Source organism: Homo sapiens, chromosome 2, assembly GCF_000001405.40.
Source record: "Homo sapiens chromosome 2, GRCh38.p14 Primary Assembly".
Classification (NCBI taxonomy): domain Eukaryota; kingdom Metazoa; phylum Chordata; class Mammalia; order Primates; family Hominidae; genus Homo; species Homo sapiens.
In genome coordinates, this window is record NC_000002.12 from 3957051 (window position 1) to 3975717 (window position 18667).

General features: G+C 45.9%; 2 long non-coding RNA genes across 2 annotated transcripts; one reads left to right on the forward strand and one right to left on the reverse strand.

The window, feature by feature from the left end:
• Window positions 1-604: 604 nt before the first annotated feature.
• LINC01304 (long intergenic non-protein coding RNA 1304) lies at window positions 605-16982 on the reverse strand. The gene is made up of 3 exons (NR_037881.1): window positions 16495-16982; window positions 2866-3506; window positions 605-1891 (listed from the first exon to the last, which is right to left on the reverse strand). It is a non-coding gene; the product is annotated as a long intergenic non-protein coding RNA 1304 (long non-coding RNA).
• A 128-nt stretch (window positions 16983-17110) lies between these two features.
• LOC105373394 (uncharacterized) lies at window positions 17111-18230 on the forward strand. The gene is made up of 3 exons (NR_136322.1): window positions 17111-17212; window positions 17474-17502; window positions 17759-18230. It is a non-coding gene; the product is annotated as an uncharacterized LOC105373394 (long non-coding RNA).
• Window positions 18231-18667: the final 437 nt, after the last annotated feature.

Consider the following 18667-nt stretch of genomic DNA (forward strand, 5'->3'; position numbering starts at 1 on the left):
CACGTGTCCAGCATCACAGGAAATCCGGCCTCCTGCGCCCTTACCCGCTTCGACTTCCTTGTCTCCTTCTCCGCGTGCCCCACATCTTCCTTGTCCTCCAGGCTCTGCACCAGCTCTCCAGGGAGCCTCCCCAGCTTGCTTCCCTCTCACAATTGTCAGCCCTGCAGGCCACCGGGTGCCCACCTGCCCTCAGGGCAGGGCTGGGACATGCATTTAGCACAAGTTATCTGTTTCGTCTTAAAATGTGAAATGGCTTACATCCTTCACGACTGTGTTCTTCAGAACCCAGAGAGCAGGGCGGACGTTCCCGCTAAGCCTTGGGACTCTGTGAGCCTCTGTTTTCCTAACTGTAAAATGGAACCGATATTATCGCTCCTGCCTACCTCAGAGGCTGCTTGAAGAATGAGAGAACCTCAGGAAAGAACTGAGTTCAGATGTTGTGCAGACATAAGATATTATTATCGAAATCATAACAATCCTTTTAGTTTTTGAACTTCTAAGCCTCAGCCTCCTCACACAGTGTTTCCTGTGGAAACTCAATAAACCATTAAATTTGTAGATTTCCTTGATTAGTATTTTTTGTTCCAGAAGACAAACACTATAATTTCAAGAATATTCTCTATATTTTTTGAGGGCTTACAAAGAAAAACACAATGTAGAAATACCCTGATTTTTCTAAAATGCTCAAAGAATGATGTATTCTGATACATCTAATTTCTGGCTAACTGGCTAAACAAATATTACTTTTCTTTAAACTTTATTATTGAATATGGAAAGGCCTTATTTGATTTTCTTATTGCAGCATGATATGTAATATGAATCTTTAGTGCAGCTCATCTTCGATGAAGCTTTTGAAAATATGAACCGTTTTCAGGGTGGCCGTAGGTTTAACTCACAGGTGTTGGTTGGAAACTCAGTAACAACGAATCTGAACTCTGATTTCTGTTACTTTCTTAAGATGGAGTTTTTAATAACTCACATCTCTTTTAATTTAGTTAGTAGTGAGTACATATTACAATGAAATGCCATATGTATTAACCCTTTTGTGACTTCCTTCACCCCCCCAATCTGAATAAGCAAAATGTTCATTTGCATTGATGGGAGTGCAGGCTCAGTGTGGTGGGGGAATGTGTCCCTCAGGGCTGCAAGTGCCGCAAACTCAGTCCAAAAATGAGTTCAGTTAGATCATTGATTCACTAAATCAGAGAAAGGAGGAATTTTGTTTCGTTTTGCTTTGAATCAGCTACTGGTTCCAGTAAGGCAATTAAAGAGTCCAGTTTTGGCATAGTTGTAGGTATTTTAATTTTGAGCCAGGCACTCTTAGATTTGAAGAATCCGAATTATAAATGAAATAATAAAATTTGGTGCAAGATGAAATTCGTAGAGTCTAGGAATTACAGCCCTGTGGGATTTAATGTCTTTTTACAGGCATAATTGATATATCTATATTTGAAATATAGGCTTTCTAATCTAGATGGTGACTGGAAGCCATTTCTCAGCTCGTCCTTGTGGCCTGCAATAGAAACAGGGAATTTCACAGGGGCGCAGCTGGCCCAAGTGGCAAAGTCTTAAAGGGGATCGTGGTGCCACCTCCTGACTGCAGAGTAAGCTGGAGTGCAGAGGGGAGGGGAGAAAGCACCGTGTCTTGACCGACGACAGGGCTCAAGCCAGTGTGGGGCTGGGCTCAGGGACGTTGCTCTGAAACTCCAAGAAAAAAGAAAAGGTTTCATTCAGTCCTCACAACAAGCTTGCGAGTAAAGTGACCTCACTTGATATGGAGTACACTCATCCTCAGTGAGGCTGACAACTCGCCCGAGGGTTCAAAGGTCACGGTGGAAACCAATTCTTTCAGCCTCTTCTTCTCTGGTTTCCTTTACTTCCCCAAAGCCAGCTACAAAGAAATGATGAAAATGACAATTTACTCATCATAAAAGTAGAAGATAACATGGCTTAACCAAGTTATGGAGGTTAGTCAAAGAAAGCCAGGAAGAGCAATTATCCTTGTATTAATACTACGATCAACGCCCGCGGTGCTCACGTGGCCTGAACCCAACATGCACAAACCCTTTCCCATGGGAGCGCTGAGAGAAGCCTCTGGAGACTCGTGCTTGGCTGCCACGTGGCGCCTTGATTTGGTTGTGACCCTGGGAAAAGCCCTGCATCTCCTTTGGAATTTGCTGACCCCTCTCCGTGGGTCTCACCTTGAGCCTTTGAAAGAGGATCCAAGGCCCCAGATAGTTTTTCTTTTGTGAGGGTCGGTTTCGGTGGGGAAACATCCGTAATTTGAAGAGTGGTATAAAATGAATAGAATAACATCTAGCATCTTCTAGTTATTCAGTAAATATCTGTTGAATAACAAAATGCATACTACTTGACCATTTTTTTTTCTATGTGGATAGTTGAATTGGGAGAATGCACAGCTGGTTATCTAAGTGACCACTGGGTGTCACTGTTTACCCACTGACCGACCATCAGTTTTTTTTTTTTTTTTTTTTTTTTTTTTCCCCTCTCACCTGGTCAGGACAAAAGCCTCTGGAAGCTGGTCCAGGTGCAGAGATTTCAAGCTTGTTTCTCATAAGTAACCTGCTATCTCAGGGGGGAAAAAGAGCGATTCCTATGTTATTCACTTCAGGATGTTTTCTGCTTTCTGTAATCTGGATGGAGAGCTGATGTGTTTTCTGTTTCTTCATCTCCCTTTTATCCTCCTAAAGAAGTTTTCTTTTGCTAACGAAAACAAGAGTTTTTATTTTGCAATTTATCTTGAAAATAGGAACGCTGGTGTGAACATTAGTTGGTACAAGACGGCAGGGTTTCATATGTAACTTTAATAGGAAACTATTGCAGGTGCTGAAAGTAAATTCTCACCTTGTCAGGCTCAGAGCATCATGATTATTGCTGCAGTGAGCTTCCTGGAAATAGAGGCCGTTCTCACTCTCTGGTGAAAGACAGGTTGGGCTTCAAAGGCCACCTCCACTGTTCTGATCTTTGGCCTCTAAGGTGATGCTCAACATCTTTGATCCTCAGAGTTCTTTGGCCCCCAGCAGGGCTTCTGACCCCACTCCCAGGGCTGCTGGGAAGTACCAAGTTCAAACCCAAAATTTCTTGTTTTCCTCCTTAGGGGTGTTCTGCTAACATCTGAGCTGATGGGTCTTGAAGGAATATTATGTTTCCTCTGCTCTTCCCTTCGTGATGTAATTTACCATGTCTTTATAACACAATCTAATATGGGTTGGGCCAAATAGCTGGAATTCCTAAGTCAGAAGTTTTCTCTGAAAGGCACGTAACTGACTGACTTGTCCGTGTTTGTGGATTTCACTGCTGCAGCAAGAGGACCTAGAAAATGGCCATCTTAAGACCTGAAGAGGCCTTAGAATTTATCCAGTTTAGTGTTTTTTTTTTTTTTTGGATGCATTTTACTCTTTCTTCAATATTCCATAGAGGGCTATAAAACCTTACAAGTGGGAGGTCTTAAAATTTCCCCATAAGACCAATGATGTGAGTACAACCTGCAGGAAACAGAAGGAATCCAGTTAGACAGTCCCTGGCCACTCCTTTCTCAGCCCTCCTTTCCTGCCCACACCTCCCCTGCGGGAGCTGTGCTAATTCCTCACTGTATCTTGGTATCCTCTACTTTAAAGGGAGAAAAAAAGATGAGCACTTATGTTTCCTGAATCTAATGCATTCCAGGCTGATGAAGAGTGACGGCTACCATTAACTGAATCCTTTCTCTGCGCAGGACTTGTGTTCAGTCTTTTATTTTCACAATTTCATTTAATTCTCACTACAGTCCCAGGAGGTGCTCCAAGTTTTCCCTAATTTACAGATGAGAAAGCTGGAGCACCAATGGAGGTTAAATGGCCTACACAAAATCACCCAACTAACACCTGGTCATTTCTGAGTCCCTTGCTTTTTAAAAATTGATACACAATATTTTATGTATTTATGGGGTATATGTGATATTTTGCTACATGCATAGAATTCGCAATGATCAAGTCAAGGTATTTGGGGTGTCCATCACCTCAAGTACTGATCATTTCTTTTTTTTTTAAATTTTTTATTTTTGAGACGGAGTCTCACTCTGTCGCCCAGGCTGGAGTGCAGTGGCGTGATCTCGGCTCACTGCAAGCTCCGCCTCCCTTGTTCACGCCATTCTCCTGCCTCAGTCTCCCAAGTAGCTGGGACTACAGGTGCCCGCCACCATGCCCGGCTAATTTTTTGTATTTCTAGTAGACATGGGGTTTCACTGTGTTAGCCAGGATGGTCTCGATCTCCTGACTTCCTCGTGATCCGCCCGCCTCGGCCTCCCAAAGTGCTGCGATTACAGGCGTGAGCCATGGCGCCCAGCCAAGTACTGATCATTTCTATGACTTGGGAACATTTCAAGTCCTTTCTTCCAGCTACTTTGAAATATACATTGTTGTTAACTATAGTCAGCCACTCTGAATTGAACAATGGAACTTACACCTTTTGTCTAACTGTATGTTTACACCCATTGACTCGTCTCTGTTCAATCCCACCCACACATCCTCCCACCCACACACCCTTGCCAGCCTCTGGTATCCATCATTCTATTCTCGACCTCCATGAGATCACCCTTTTTTTTTTTTTTTTTATAGTTCCCACATTTGAGTGAGAGCTTGGGATATTTGTCTTTCTGTGCCTGGCTTATTTCACTTAACACAAGGACCTCCAGGGACTCCTTTGCTTTTAACCACTCACCTACTTAGGGGGATGTTGGGTTCAATGTTGTGGTCTGTAATAGAGAGGGTTTTTCAGTCAGTCTCACTGCCTTGAGCTCATGGTGGAGGCGTTTGGAGCCATATAAAACTAGACTTGAGTATCAGCTGCAAGAACAGGAGGATTTCACTCAATTTCTCTTTTGTTCCTGAAAGCATTTCTCTAGATGCCCCATTTATCCAGATGTGGCTATTGCACGTTGTATGTGATATGGTTTGGCTGTGTCCCCACCCAAATCTCACCTTGAATTGTAATAATCCCCACGTGTCAAGGAGGGGGGGTGAGGTGGAGGTAATCGAATCATGGGGATGGTTTCCTCCATACTGTCCTCGTGTTTGTGAATAAGTCTCATGAAATCTGATGGTTTTATAAATGAGAGTTTTCCTGCACACACTCTCTTGCCTGTTGCCATGTAAGACGTGACTTTGTTCCTCCTTTGCCTTCTGCCATGACTGTGAGGCTTCCCCAGCCACGTGGAACTGTGAGTCTGTTAAACCTCCTTCCTTTATAAATTACCCAGTCTCGGGTATATCTTTATTAGTAGTGTGAGAATAGACTAATACAGTACTCCTGTGTCAAAATCTCTCGTATACCCCATAAATAAATGCACTTACTGTGTACCCACAAATACTAAAAATAAGATTTTTTTAAAAAAGATTTCTTTAGCAGTTATGGGTGGCTGGGCATTGTGCTAGCTGAAGGCATCCTTATCTTCCTCCTTGCTTAGCTTCATGGAGACCATGAGTCCCCCAGTCCTTACCCCTCCCCTGCAAGTTGGAATTAGACTTATTAGAACTACCTGATGGAGCTCAGTTAAACTTACAAAAAATCAAAGACAAAACAAAAATAGGCTGCTCAGTTTATAACCCTCAGCCAAAATCTCTGATGAGTGGTGGGCGAGGTACGTTTCTGTTAGGGAGGTTGAAGAGTTTTCTACGTGAATCAATGTGTATATGACAAGAGGGCAGCCCCAGGCATGCGTTTTGAAGACTTAGTGTGCGTCAAGGAAGTGCATGATGCCTGGGTTTAGAGGGTGGGAGGGGCCTGCTGCCATTTGTAGCAGAAGCTACCCTGGGGAAGGCTTACCCTCTGCATATTGATTGCCTGAGGGTTTCCATGAATATTGATTTAGGAAAGGCCAATGGTGTTTACGCTGCTGAATATGCATCATCATGGCCATTAGAAACATGTCAGTCTATACTGAGGCAGGGCAGCTCTGGGATTTCATGGGCTTGGCGATACCAGGGCTGAACTGGTTCAGTATCAACTGGAACTTTCTGCTTGAGTCTTAATTGCTTTTTGGAGGCAATCAGGCATCCAGTTAACCTCCTCTTTCCTGGAATTTTGTTTTCTTGATTCTGCTATCTTACAAAATGGTCAGGAGGAAGATATTTTCAGAAGGCTTAGGAGCTTGACACACAGGCTGGATGCATTGTAATTGCATCTGGGGGACAGAACACATTTCTGGATTTATCCCCAAAGCCTTACCCACATTTAAAAAATATTGTTGCTAAGTCTAGCGTGGAGGGAAGGGGCATAAAATCACATATGAACACTCTCGGTAGGATAACGTGCATGCAGGCACATTAGACTCTTCCCTCTCCTGGAATGAGCAGCTGGAAGGTGAGTCTTTAAGACTCAAGTCCTCGCTTTTCTACAGGATGGTGCAAAGGAAGCTGCGTGACAATGTTCTAGCCCCGGGATAGAGAGAGCTGGAGTGTAGTTCTGCTGTGAAATATCAGAGCCTGGTTATGACCCAGTCAGGCACATACGCCTCTTGGCTTCAGTTTCTTCACTCCCAAAATGGGCGGATTCCTAGTCTAACTTCTACCTACAGTTAGTAGGAGGATAAAATGTTATAATCAATGTGAAGCACACAGAACATTTGAAAGGATTTTGGAGTCACTAATGGTACATGGCACCTTTTGGAGAGAAAACCTTAGGACTTAACCTTGGATGGATCATTTATGATTTCTTCTGATGCTAGGATATTGGCCGAGTTACTTATTTCTGTGCCTTGGTAAAATTGGTCTCACCTATAAAATAAGAATTATGACCCTATCCCACAGATACTGTACGCAGAACACTCTACAAAACATCACTTGAAACACAATTGAATTCAAATAACGACAGTTTCCATCTCTGCTTCTTCCTCCCCCTTAAAACACCAATTTTTTCCCTCTTATTGACTAGTCTTTTGCAGAGGTGATTAGAATGCCTGGCAATGCATGGGAATGCGGTTCCTATTTATAGATTATTAATTCATGGGTCTTTTGGAAAATCACTAATGCTGTTTTCCAAATCATTTGTCTTTTTTCAATGCTAAAATTATAATCTTATTTTCCCAATATAATTTGTTACCTGTTTATGAATTTTGACATGACGGAAGGAAGTGTGGAGTTTATGGCAGCGTTTGGGCAGCTAGCACAGCTTTTCTTGCTCAGCAGTTCTAATATAGTTCGATATTTGTTCTATTTTGGTTTATGTATTATTTATTGCCTTTATACTTTCAAAAGGAAATAGAGACTATTTTCAATAAATACCAGTAGAGAATATAGTAAAACAACAACAACAGAAAAGAAATAAGAGTCTGGGTGTGGTGGCTCATGCCTGTAATCCAGCACTTTGGGAGGCTAAGGCGGGTGGATCACTTGAGGTCAAGAGTTCAAGACCAGCCTGGCCAGTGTGGTGAAACCCCATCTCTACTAAAAATACAAAAATTAGCCAGGTGTGGTGGCGGCGCCTGTAATCCCAGCTACTTGGGCTACTCATGAGGCTGAGGTACAAGAATTGCTTGAACTCAGGAGGTGGAGGTTGCAGTGAGCCCAGATAGTGCCACTGCACTCCAGCCTGGGTGACAGAACAAGACTCTGTCTCAAAAAGAAAGAAGAAAGAAGAAACCAAGTAGAAGAGAGATGGCAATACCCAACCAAGAACTGGAGATCAAGGGGTGCTGACCACTCTTGTACATTGTTTTGCTCTAAGCTTTCTAGCACGTTAGGCAAAATCGGGTAAAAATAGAAGATTTTTGTGTTTTTCATTGTCAGGTAAAAAACAGCTAAGTATACTTTTCTTGAAAGCCACCTTTTCCTCAACATAAATTATGATATAATTATTTGTAGAGACTGATGAAAATAACAGGTCACAGCAGCTGTTTTGAAGATTCTGAATCCTGTGTTGTTCGGCCTCACATTAGCAGAGATCCTTCACATTGAGGGGTTTTGGGAGGGCTTACGAGAGGGGCTGTGCCAGCTGGTCCAGGAGTACCTTTTCTCCATTGAGAGTGGGGTTCCAACACCTTCCTGGGTGGGAAGGTGGTTAGTGCACCTGTGGACAGGCAGCCTGGTTCAGTTTGTGGATTGTTCCATCCTGAGCATCTCCTGATCCCAGGCTTGCTTGCATGTTGGCCTGAGGCATTTCATCTGGTAGAAGAGGAGGGAATTTGGACTTCATTGCATAGCTTCTAAAATGGAAACCTACAGACATCACGTGCCATTTAATTTCATTAAATTTGATCCAATTCAGTTCAACTCCATATTGTTCAATTTCAACCAGTTCAGCGGAGGGCTGCAAGCACCTCCTGTGCTCTGGGCAATACGGGGAGTACGGATGGGCCAGGCTTCGTGCTGCCCTTGAGGGCATGGCTTGCTGGCTCAGGAGGCAGATGCGTACCCCACTGCCTACCCTGGAGGAGGCTATAAACAATGGCTCCACGGAGAGCCAGGGAAAGTGCTGTGGGAGCAGCCGAGAGGAAGCAACAACTCTGTGGAAATGTTCTTTTATTTATGGCGATAAAGGTACACGTCTGTGTAATGATCTCTTTTCTGTTGTATATGATTCTGGAGTTTCCAATTATGCTGTAGTTTAGAAAATATTTTTCCTGAGGGTTAATGTTTACATTTACAAATGTGTATAGCTTAACTAACAGTTTAAATGGAAATTTTAATATAGTCTATGAATTGTTGCTTCATTTGCATATTTTATCAATTTGCCATCATTCTGGGTTGTATATAGTGCACTAATTAGAAATTGAATTAAAAAGGACTGTGCATTTTTAATTTTCACTTCAGAATGCAAAATGCTAGTTGTTTAACGACTGCCTTATCAATGGCATGTTGTATAGATATGTGAGTAGAGGCCGGGACATTTCTGGAGACCTGAACCCCAGAGAGATGATAAGGATGGATGGGACAGCGAGTCAATTTACACTGAAGGGAATGTGGCAGGTGTGAAGGTAATAGGCGGCTGTGGCTCGCCGCTTACTGCTGTGTTTCTTTGGTGTTCTCATTAGCATCACTGTTCCCCATGTCTTGGCCCAGACCCAGAATTGCAGGCTTAACAAGCCAAATAGCTATGCAGTGAGAAAGCTTTGCTAAAAGCATGAATGCTGCATACAGGTAGTCAGTTCCATTTGCCCTGAATGTGCACTAAGGACCCAATCTGTTCTGTCTACAGCAGATGATCCACTCAGACAAATGCCTAAGGGACTGCGTGTAAGAGCTAATCACACAGGGGCCCTCCCTTCCTGCCTCCTTTGTGTCACTATAGTCCTTATGGCAGACAGGACTGGCTGGTGTAGGTGGCATTCACACACACTGACAGTCCCTTATGATGGAGTCAGTTGGCTTTGCACTGTGACATTGACAGGGTGCTGGCATGTCCTGACCACAGAGCTCCACTGTGGACTATCTCAGGATGTCTCTTCCAATCTCCTGTAACTTTTCAACTGTCTTCCTGAAAGAACTCAGGTGTTGCCTGACAAGGGGGTGCTCGTCAACAGCAGCTGCCCTCACCAGTGGCATCTCCTGAGCCTGGAAATGTGCCTGGCACTTGCAAGGTGCTCAGTGTATCAGTCAGGACAGCCTGCATACGCTGCAGTAACAAGCAAGCCCCAGCTCTCGGGGTGTATCTCTTGTTCATTTGTGTGTCGCTTTATGGTGGGCAGGAGCTCTGGGACATCCCCTGTCACCAGGCAAGAGGAAGAGGAAATTGTGCATCGTGCATTCATTCTGAAAGGCATCTGTCTAGAAGAAATACAAGCTACTTCTGCTCATATTTCATTGGTGAAAGCAAGTCAGGTGGCTACGTCTAACTTCAGAGAGGCAGGAAATACAAGTCTACATTTCCCAAGGGGGAGAACTGGATGCATTAGTGAGCAGCATTTATCTCTCACACACTCCGTGTGTTTATCAAGCTGCACTAGAGGTGTGAAATAATGTTTGCCAATAATGATGCTGGTACCTCACTTGTTCCTCCTCTAAGGGAGGATATTGATTTTTAATTATGTGAAGGTCTCTGGATGTAAAAGTAGAAGTTTCTAAAAATCTAGAAGCCTTAAAAACCTCAGAGATTGTCCAGCCCCATTTAATATTAGCAATGAGACGAAGTAGTTTGCCAAGCACCTTTCAGTCTGTTGATGTTAAACCTGGGGCTTGTGTCTTGGCCTGCCAACTCACCCACTAGAGTTCTTGCCACTTTTGTCTGGTGCCTGTAAGACGATGATCTAGGTCTCACTGCAAAGACCATTTCCAAAGACTGTCTGGTTCCTTGGGAGGCCGAGGCGGGCGGATCACGAGGTCAGGAGATGGAGACCATCCTGGCTAACACGGTGAAACCCTGTCTCTACTAAAAATACAAAAAATTATCCAGGTGTAGTGGTGGGTGCCTGTAGTCCCAGCTACTTGGGAGGCTGAGGCAGGAGGGTGGCATGAACCCGGGAGGCGGAGCTTGCAGTGAGCTGAGATCATGCCACTGCACTCCAGCCTGGGCGAAAGAGGGAGACTCCGTCTCAAAAAAAAAAAAAAAAAAAAAAAAAAAGACTGTCTGGCTCCTGAGGCTCCCTGGAGTAGCCGAGCACTCATTTACCATCCACTGCAGCATGACAGTGCTTGGAGTCTGCCTATTCAGCCTCTAGATGATGAAGATTACAGAAAATAATTTACCCAAAGTGCTTTGGATAGTGCCTGGAACAGTCAATGTGTAATAACGGTTTTTTTTTTTTTTTTTTTTTTGAGTTGCGGGCAGGGTCTCACTCTGTCACCCAGGCTGGAGTGCAGTGGTGTGCTCACGGCTCACTGTAGCATCAAACTCCCCAGCTCAAGTGATCTTCCTGCCTCAGCCTCCTAAGTAGCTGGGACTGCAGGCATGCGCCACCATGCCTAGCTAATTTTTGTATTTTTTGTAGAGATGTTGTCTCATTATGTTGCTCAGGCTGGTCTCAAACTCCTGGCCTCAAGCAGTCCTCCTGACTCAGCTCCCCAGAGTGCTGGGATTACAAGTGTGCCTGGCCTATAACTACTGATTTATTATTATTCCATGTGATTGTTGTTGCTATAATTGAATTCTGTAGTGAGGTGCCTTCTGGCCTGGCACAGGATGGCAGAGGGCTTACAGTTTTCTCCAGGCAGTGCTCCCAGCTCAGGGTTCAGCCACCAGACAAGTCATTTGTTATCTCTTGCCACGTTTGGAATTTGGCCCCCCATGTTCTCCAACAAGGGCACCCTTGAGAAGAGGGGAGAGGAGAGGAGGGAAGGGGAGGGGAGGGGAGAAGAAAAGGTACAGTGAGCATGAGAATCAAGCACCGAGAGGCAGGATGGGTGATACGGTTTGGCTCTGTCTCCACCCAAATCTCACTTAGAATTGTAATCCCCACCGGTCAAGGGCGGGACCAGGTGGAGGTGATTGGATCATGGGGGCGGTTTCCCCCATGCTGGTCTCATGATAGTGAGTGAGTCTTAGGAGATCTGATGGTTTTATAAGCGTCTGGCATTTCCCCACTTGCACTTCTCCTTCCTGGCCCCCCTGGGAAGAAGATACTTTTCTTCCCCTTCACCTTCTGCCATGATTGTAAGTTTCCTGAGGCCTCCCCAGCCATGCGGAACTGTGAGTCAATTAAACCTCTTTCCTTTATGAATTACCCAGTCTTGGGTATGTCTTTACAGCAGCGTGAAAATGGACTAATACAATAGGCACCTGGAGGGGGCATCGGAAGGGTGGAGGAGACAGAGGAGCTGAAGGGAAGATACCACAGGTCTTGGGGCCAAAGACAAGGAGTGGCTCAGGAGCTCCAGGTCTGAGGGCAAGGCAGGGAGCAAGAAGGAGGTAATGCAGAGGTGCTGAGGCATCACGGGTGTTGACTGAGGAATGGCAGGCGTCTCCTCTCAGAACGTGCTCAGGCTGGGGGGTTTCAGCAAGTGTCCAAGCCCCCCCAGCCCCGTCTTTCCCTCCCAGGCACGTGCTGTCCTGCCTCCTGCCATCTGGGACTGGCCTTGTCCAGAGCATTACCTCTCCCTCTGGCTGTGATCTCCCTGCAAGGGGGCTCCCACTAAAGAGAAATGATAACAATTTACAGAGGGAACGCTGGCCTCTAGACAGCCATGGAGGGCTATGCAGGGAGTAACGAGAGCTCTGATAATAAGAACAGCCAAGGTTTATGGAGCCCCAGGTCCAGGAGTCAGCTCAGCGTGTTTTTTCATCTTTACTTTATGTCTTAATTATTTGGGTTTGTAATCATCATCATCATGATAATGGAGATGCCAATAACAGCGATAACAGCTATCATCGAGTGAGCTCTTATTCCTGTGTATTTTATGTCTATTATTTGTTTCCATAGCAATGGTTTCGGGTAAGGGGATTTTCAAAAGGGGACAGTGAGGCTCAGGAATGTAAACCAGTTGCCCGAGCTTGCATGTCTGGTAAATAGCAACACAGACCATGCTCAAAATACATCTGTCTGACTTCAAAGCCCATGCCAGGGCTTTAAAGATAACTCAGGATTATGCTCTTTGCAAACAAAGGAAATTGGAACTCAGGGAGGTCCAATTTCAGTTTCTAGAACATCTACACCTCTTTGGAATGGAGGTGCACTTGGATTAGGGTCCTCCGAACCCTGGCTAACACTTTTCCTCCCCCTCTGCCCTGCTGCCCCCCACAGATGCAGGACAGTCCCTTCTGTGGGGTAGGGACCCAGGTGGGAACACTGTTGCTTCCTGGTCCTTCCTGTCTGTGGCCAAGCTGAGTCTCATTAATGCAAGGGCACCCAGACAGTGGGAAGTTCTCAAAAGAGCAGTTTTGGAGTCCATGTGGAAGAGGAGGGAAGACGCACACCCTCTTCTCTATGGCCGTGCAGCGGGCTTGGCTTTGGTGATAGAAACCGTGGGTCTGGCGTATTTCTGCGCTGCCTTTGCTTGTTTAGAAACTGCCGCTTGCAGGCACTGCCCACCCTCACAGGGTATGAGTCAGTAGTCAGCCCTGTGATTGGCAAGTGTCTACCTTGTGCCTGGCTGATGCCCACACCCTGAGAGATAGGACTATTATTCTCTCTTCTAGAAAAAGAAGATGAATTTAGGACATTTAAGAAACTTCTCCAAGGCTTCACTGCTAATTCAGTTGCTCAGTCAAGATTTGAATCAGCTGTGTGTGACTCGTGTGTTACTCCAAAATGGAAATGTTTGGTTCACGAGGACTCTACTTTACTATGCATGTGTACTTCCAGAAGAAAGGGAAAAACAAAGGTATTTAGGCATTGTTTTTTAAAAGGTAGTATTTCTATTTTCCGTATCCTCCCCCCTTCAATATATTCCTACAAAAGGTTGATGGAAGGAAAGTTGACATAAATCGTAAAATCTCAAATGAGATTTGGGTACTTTTGTGGTTTTGACTTACCTGTACTGATCTTTCCATAAATGCAGATAATCAAAGTTTGGCTTTGTCTTTCTATTTATTGACTTGGCTATCCAAGTGCTTATCTATCTGTTTTCTCTAATGTGGAAAGGGGTCACCGTTCATAAAATTGGGCTTGAAACTTCTGGCAATGTAATACACGTATTGGTTTTGTATTGTTCTTAAATGGATCATCTGGTGTCATTGAGGAATTTACCTTTCTCTGATATTCTCAATTGCTCCAAGTTAAAAAATAAAAAGTTGTGCGAAGTAATTTTCAGTGTCCAAGAAAGACATTGGACGAAGTGGGAGTGAAGGGTGAAGACCAGGGTTTTAAAGAGAAAAACTCACACAACTTAGGACAGGCGAAAATGGTGAAAGAAGCTGGTATTCCCACGTCCACTCCGCTCCCTATTACAGAACACCAGGCTAGAGTCACATCTTGCAGCGTCAGCTTCAGACTTTTATCATGTTTTCAAGTGGGGCCAACTTATTGACATTTTGTCCGCACAGCTCTGGCCAAAGCACTCCTGAGCTGAGGCTCGGCACTGCCGTGCAGCCCTCACTGTCAGACCAGTGGGGGCCACGCGGGCTGTGGACGCAGCCTCAGGATAGATGCAGCGGGGCTACACGCCTCTTCCTCTGGTTTAAATGTTTATCCAGAAAAGAAAAACGTAGCCTGAGATTTCACTCTGTGTGGCTGCCAGGCACTTGTTTCTTTTCCAACTGGCTTCCCCATTGAGGGATTTTTCCCTGAAGGTCCTGGCGGTTTGGGCTTAGATTACAGGGAGCAAGGCTGTATTTTTAAGCAGGCTGTGAGGGGAAAGGGGAGGACAGGGGAGGACACTGGGATGGTGTGTGTGTGAATGCGTGTGCTGTGTGAATGTGTGTTGTATGTGTGTGTTATGTTATGTGGTGTGTGAATGCGTGTGTGTTGTGTGTGAATGTGTGGTGTGTGTGGTGAGTGAATGTGTGTGTTGTGTGTGGTATATGTGTGTGCATGTGTGTGAATGTGTGTGTGGTATGTGTATGTGTGTGGAAATGTGCATGTGTGTGCATGTGTGAATACTGTGTGTGGTGTGTGTGCATGTGTGTGTGAATGTGTGTGGTATGTGCATGTGTGTGTTGTGTGTGGTGCGTATATGTGGTATGTGAATGTGTGTTGTGTATGTGTGTGTTGTATGTGTGTTGTATGTGCATGTGTGAGACAGTGTGTTGTATGTGTGTGAATGTGTGGGTTGTGTATGTGGTGTGCAAATGTGTATGTGTGTGAATGAGTGCGTGTGTGCATGTGTGTATTGTGTGGTGTGCAAATGTGTCATGTGTATGTGTGTACATGTGCATGTGTGTTGTGTGTGCATGTGTGAATGTGTGTGATGTGTGTGCGTGTTGTGTGTGCATATGTGTATGACTTTTTGCATGGTGTGTCTGGTGTGTGCATGTGTGTGTGCATGTGTGTGTATGACTGTGTTGTGTGTGGTGTATGTGTGTGTTGTGTGTACATGTGTGACTGAGTGTGCATGTTGTGTGTGGTGTGTGCATGTGTGTGTGTGGTGCATGTGAGTGTGTGTTGTGTGTGTGTGACTGTTGTGTGTGGTGTATGTGTATGTTGTGTGTGTGTGTGACTGTGAGTGTGCATGTTGTGTGGTGTGTGCATGTGTGTGGTGCATGTGAGTGTGTGTGTGACTTGTGTGTGGTGTATGTGTGTGTTGTGTGTGCGTGTGTGACTGTGAGTGTGCGTGTTGTGTGTGGTGCGTGTGTGTGTGTGTGATTCATGTGAGTGTGTGTTGTGTATGTGTGTTGTGTGTGACCGTGTCCGTGCCACACAGAGTGAAATCTCAAGCTACGTTTTTCTTTTTTGGATAAACATTTAAACCAGGGGAAGAGGCGTGGGGCCCCGCTGCATCTATCCCGAGGCTGCGTCCACAGCTCCAGTGGCCCCTGCTGGTCTGACTGTGACGGCTGCCCGGCAGTGCCGAGCCTCGGCTCAGGAGTGCTTTGGCCAGAGCTGTGTAGACAAAATGTCAATAAGTTGGCCCCACTTCTGTATGTGTGTGTTGTGTGCATGTGTATGTGTGTGTTGTGTGTATGACTGTGTGTGAGTGTGTGTGTTGTGTGTGTGATGTGTGCATGTGTATGCCTATGTGCTTGGAACCTTAATCCTCAAGTCCAAATGCTGATGGCATTTGGAGGTGGGGCCTCTGGGAGGTGATTAGGGTTAGATGAGGTCATCAGGGCGGGCCCCGACGGGGCTGGCAGCTTTGTAGGAAGAGGAAGAGAGACGGCAGGGCAACACCCCTACCCTTTGCCATGTGATGCCCTCGGCTAAGTCATGGTGCAGAGGGGAGGCCCTCATCTGATGCACCCCCAACCATGGAATTCCAGCCTCCAGAATTGTCAGATATAATTTTTTTCTTTATAAATTGTCCAATCTCAGGTATTCAGTTATTGCAACAGAAAGCAGACACTGATGAGGGCTTTGGAGCAATGCAGAGCTGGTCCCAGAGGCAAGATGGAGGGAGCTTGTGCAGCTCTGGGCGTCCCTGTGGGCACCTCTGGGCCAAGTCCAGCTTCACCTTCACCCTCCTGATTTCCCACAGCAGGCAGGAGGGTGGTGGAGCCCACACTGTGGGGCAGGAGAGTCTCTCAGACTCCTGGGAAGGAGCAAGGTGCCCAAACGAGGACAGACAGAGGCTGCTTATCTCCAGCTGGAGTAAGAGCGAAAGAGCTGGCCACTGTCACTTACATTTTTGCAGCGACTCAGGCAGGCTGGGTGTGGGAGCTTCCCAGGGGAAGAGAAGGCACCCGGTGTGGGCGTGGGAGCTTTCCAGGGCAAGGGAAGGTACCCGGTGAGCCCCAGTGGAGGCTGCTGGCCTGGAAGCTGGGGCGGCAACTAGAATCGGGGCATCCCGTGTGCGTTTAAGGGGAGCACATTTGTCTTTCTTGGTTTGTCCTCAGTGGGATGTCAGGGCAGGAGTTGGGGCAGCTGTGAGTTATTAACCAGGTCTTGGGCATCTGGGACTGACTCTTATGGGTTGCTTGATTCCTAGATTGGGGCTAGAGATAGGGGCCTGACTTCCCACAGGCGTAACTTACTGAGGGCAGGCCAGCATCCATCCTGGCTGCTGCAGGTGACGGGTTGGCTTCCTGGGCTGGCTGCTGCAGGTTGTGGGCCATAGTTCCATTTGTACAGATGGTCATGCCATTGTCTCTTTGTATATCCAGCCTCTCAGACCACATTCTGGCTCCAGCCCTTCCTGCTGTGGGACCTTGGACACATCCCCTGACTGTCCTGTGCCCGTCTTCTCAGTGGTGAAGGGAGCAGTGACCATGCACATCACTGAGGACAGCCATGGGGATGAAACACGGCAGGCCAAGGCACAGCAAGGTGTACTGAAGTAGTTCAGAAAAGCCCAGCTCTCCCTCCACGGGCCTTCACTCCGTGCTACCTTGGCTGGAATGTGGCCAACCTTTGTGTTGAGGCTAGGGCTTCTTCTCCAAACACATGGAATTCATCTTTGAATCACACGTTAGGCAGCTCCAAGCATCCCCTCCAAGGTGGTCTGCTGACAGTCTCTTCTGCTGTCTGCTGACTGGACTCTGGGATGCTTGTGAGGCAGTTGTGGGGTGGAGCAAGTAACAAAGGCTTTGGAATCAGAAGATTGGAGTTAGAATCTTAGGTCAGTAATTCGCTGCCTCGGTAACCTCCATCAGATTCCGCCCCCCTGAGGACGAGTCTCTTCATCTTTATGAAGGGGATGTGGTATTGGCACCCCTGGCTTGGATGGAGCATGAGGCAGCTACACGGTGCTGGGTGTGGTGTCCATCTCTCCCTCTATCGTGATCTGCTCTCTCTCTCTCTCTCTTTTTTTTTTTATTTTCTTTCCCTTTTTTGTGAAAGTTACTCCATCCCAGATAGCTTTGCGAATGACCTGTGTTTCCCAGCATTCTGCACTTGATAAAACTAGTTCGGATTGCTTTTCTTTAGAAGCTATTTTATAAAGAAGTTTGCTAGATATCTATCTAGATGGACACAGATGTATTGATATCATATATTATTTCTTCTTTTGGAAAGGAGTCAAAGAGCCTCCTGTCATCTTGCAGGTAGGTGGGCAGCCCGAGATCTAAACTTCCCATGGGAAATCTCCACATGTAAGCCCCACTCAGAATCCCGGGGCGGCAAGGGCAGGTTAGGACTTACCACGGTGTTCCAAGCTCCATGGCCGTAGGTGGGTTGCTCTTAGTCACTGGGGGACAGAAGCATGGATGGTAAGAGCTGCTTGTCTTAAATCTATCGACTGAAATTATAATCAAGGATGGGTTGATCACTACTGGGTGTTTTGGATCTACTTTTGCAAAGTTGGAGTCTAAGAGAGTCCCCAGAAGCCACCAGGACGACATATGGTCTCTGCAAATGATGAAGCATTTCATGAACCATCACAACGAAGAAGACCCAAGTCACAGCATGCCAGGATGAACCCAGCAAACACCACACAGTTTCACTCACCACACAGAACCAGAAGTTGACTGCTGACGGCCCTCTGAGAGGCTGCCATAGTTTGTTAAATATTTTTCAATCAGGAAACACACTCTGAGCTCCCTTCTGCAGCTGGGTAGGTGCTGAGCTCCAGAGGTTAAAAGACAAATATGTGTTCACATTCTGGAGGTTATAGCATGCTCACAATTAAATGGATTTCATTTCAGAATATTACTTGTCCCGGATTGCACACGGCATGTGTGTATTACGTAGATGGATAGACAGATTAACATTTATGGAAACAAATCATTGTCTGCATTATCAGATTGTAGTAAATTCTTATAATTTTGTGTGGCCTCAGCATCTATTTTGAATACCAGTTTAACTTTCGCAGACCAGAAGTAAGTCTCGGTCATTCTTGACACAGTTTCTAGTTGTACACCACACCAAAGTGGCTCAAGCTGGTGGCTCAAGATTCAGAATTTAGAGGCATTTCTCACCCAGCAAGTAGAGCTTCTGCTTTCCTGCCCAGGCTTCCTTTTTAGACAAAGTCTCACCCTGTCATCCAGGCTGGAGTGCAGGGATGAGATCTTGGCTCACTGTAACCTCCGTTTCCCAGGCTCAAGTGATTCTTCCACCTCAGACTACCCAGTAGCTGGGACTACAGGTACGCACCACCACACCCAGCTTTTTTTAAAAATTGTATTTCTTTTGTAGAGATGGGGCTTTGCCATATTGCCCAGGCTGGTCTCAATCTTCTGGACTCAAGTGATCTGACCTCCTCAGGCTCCC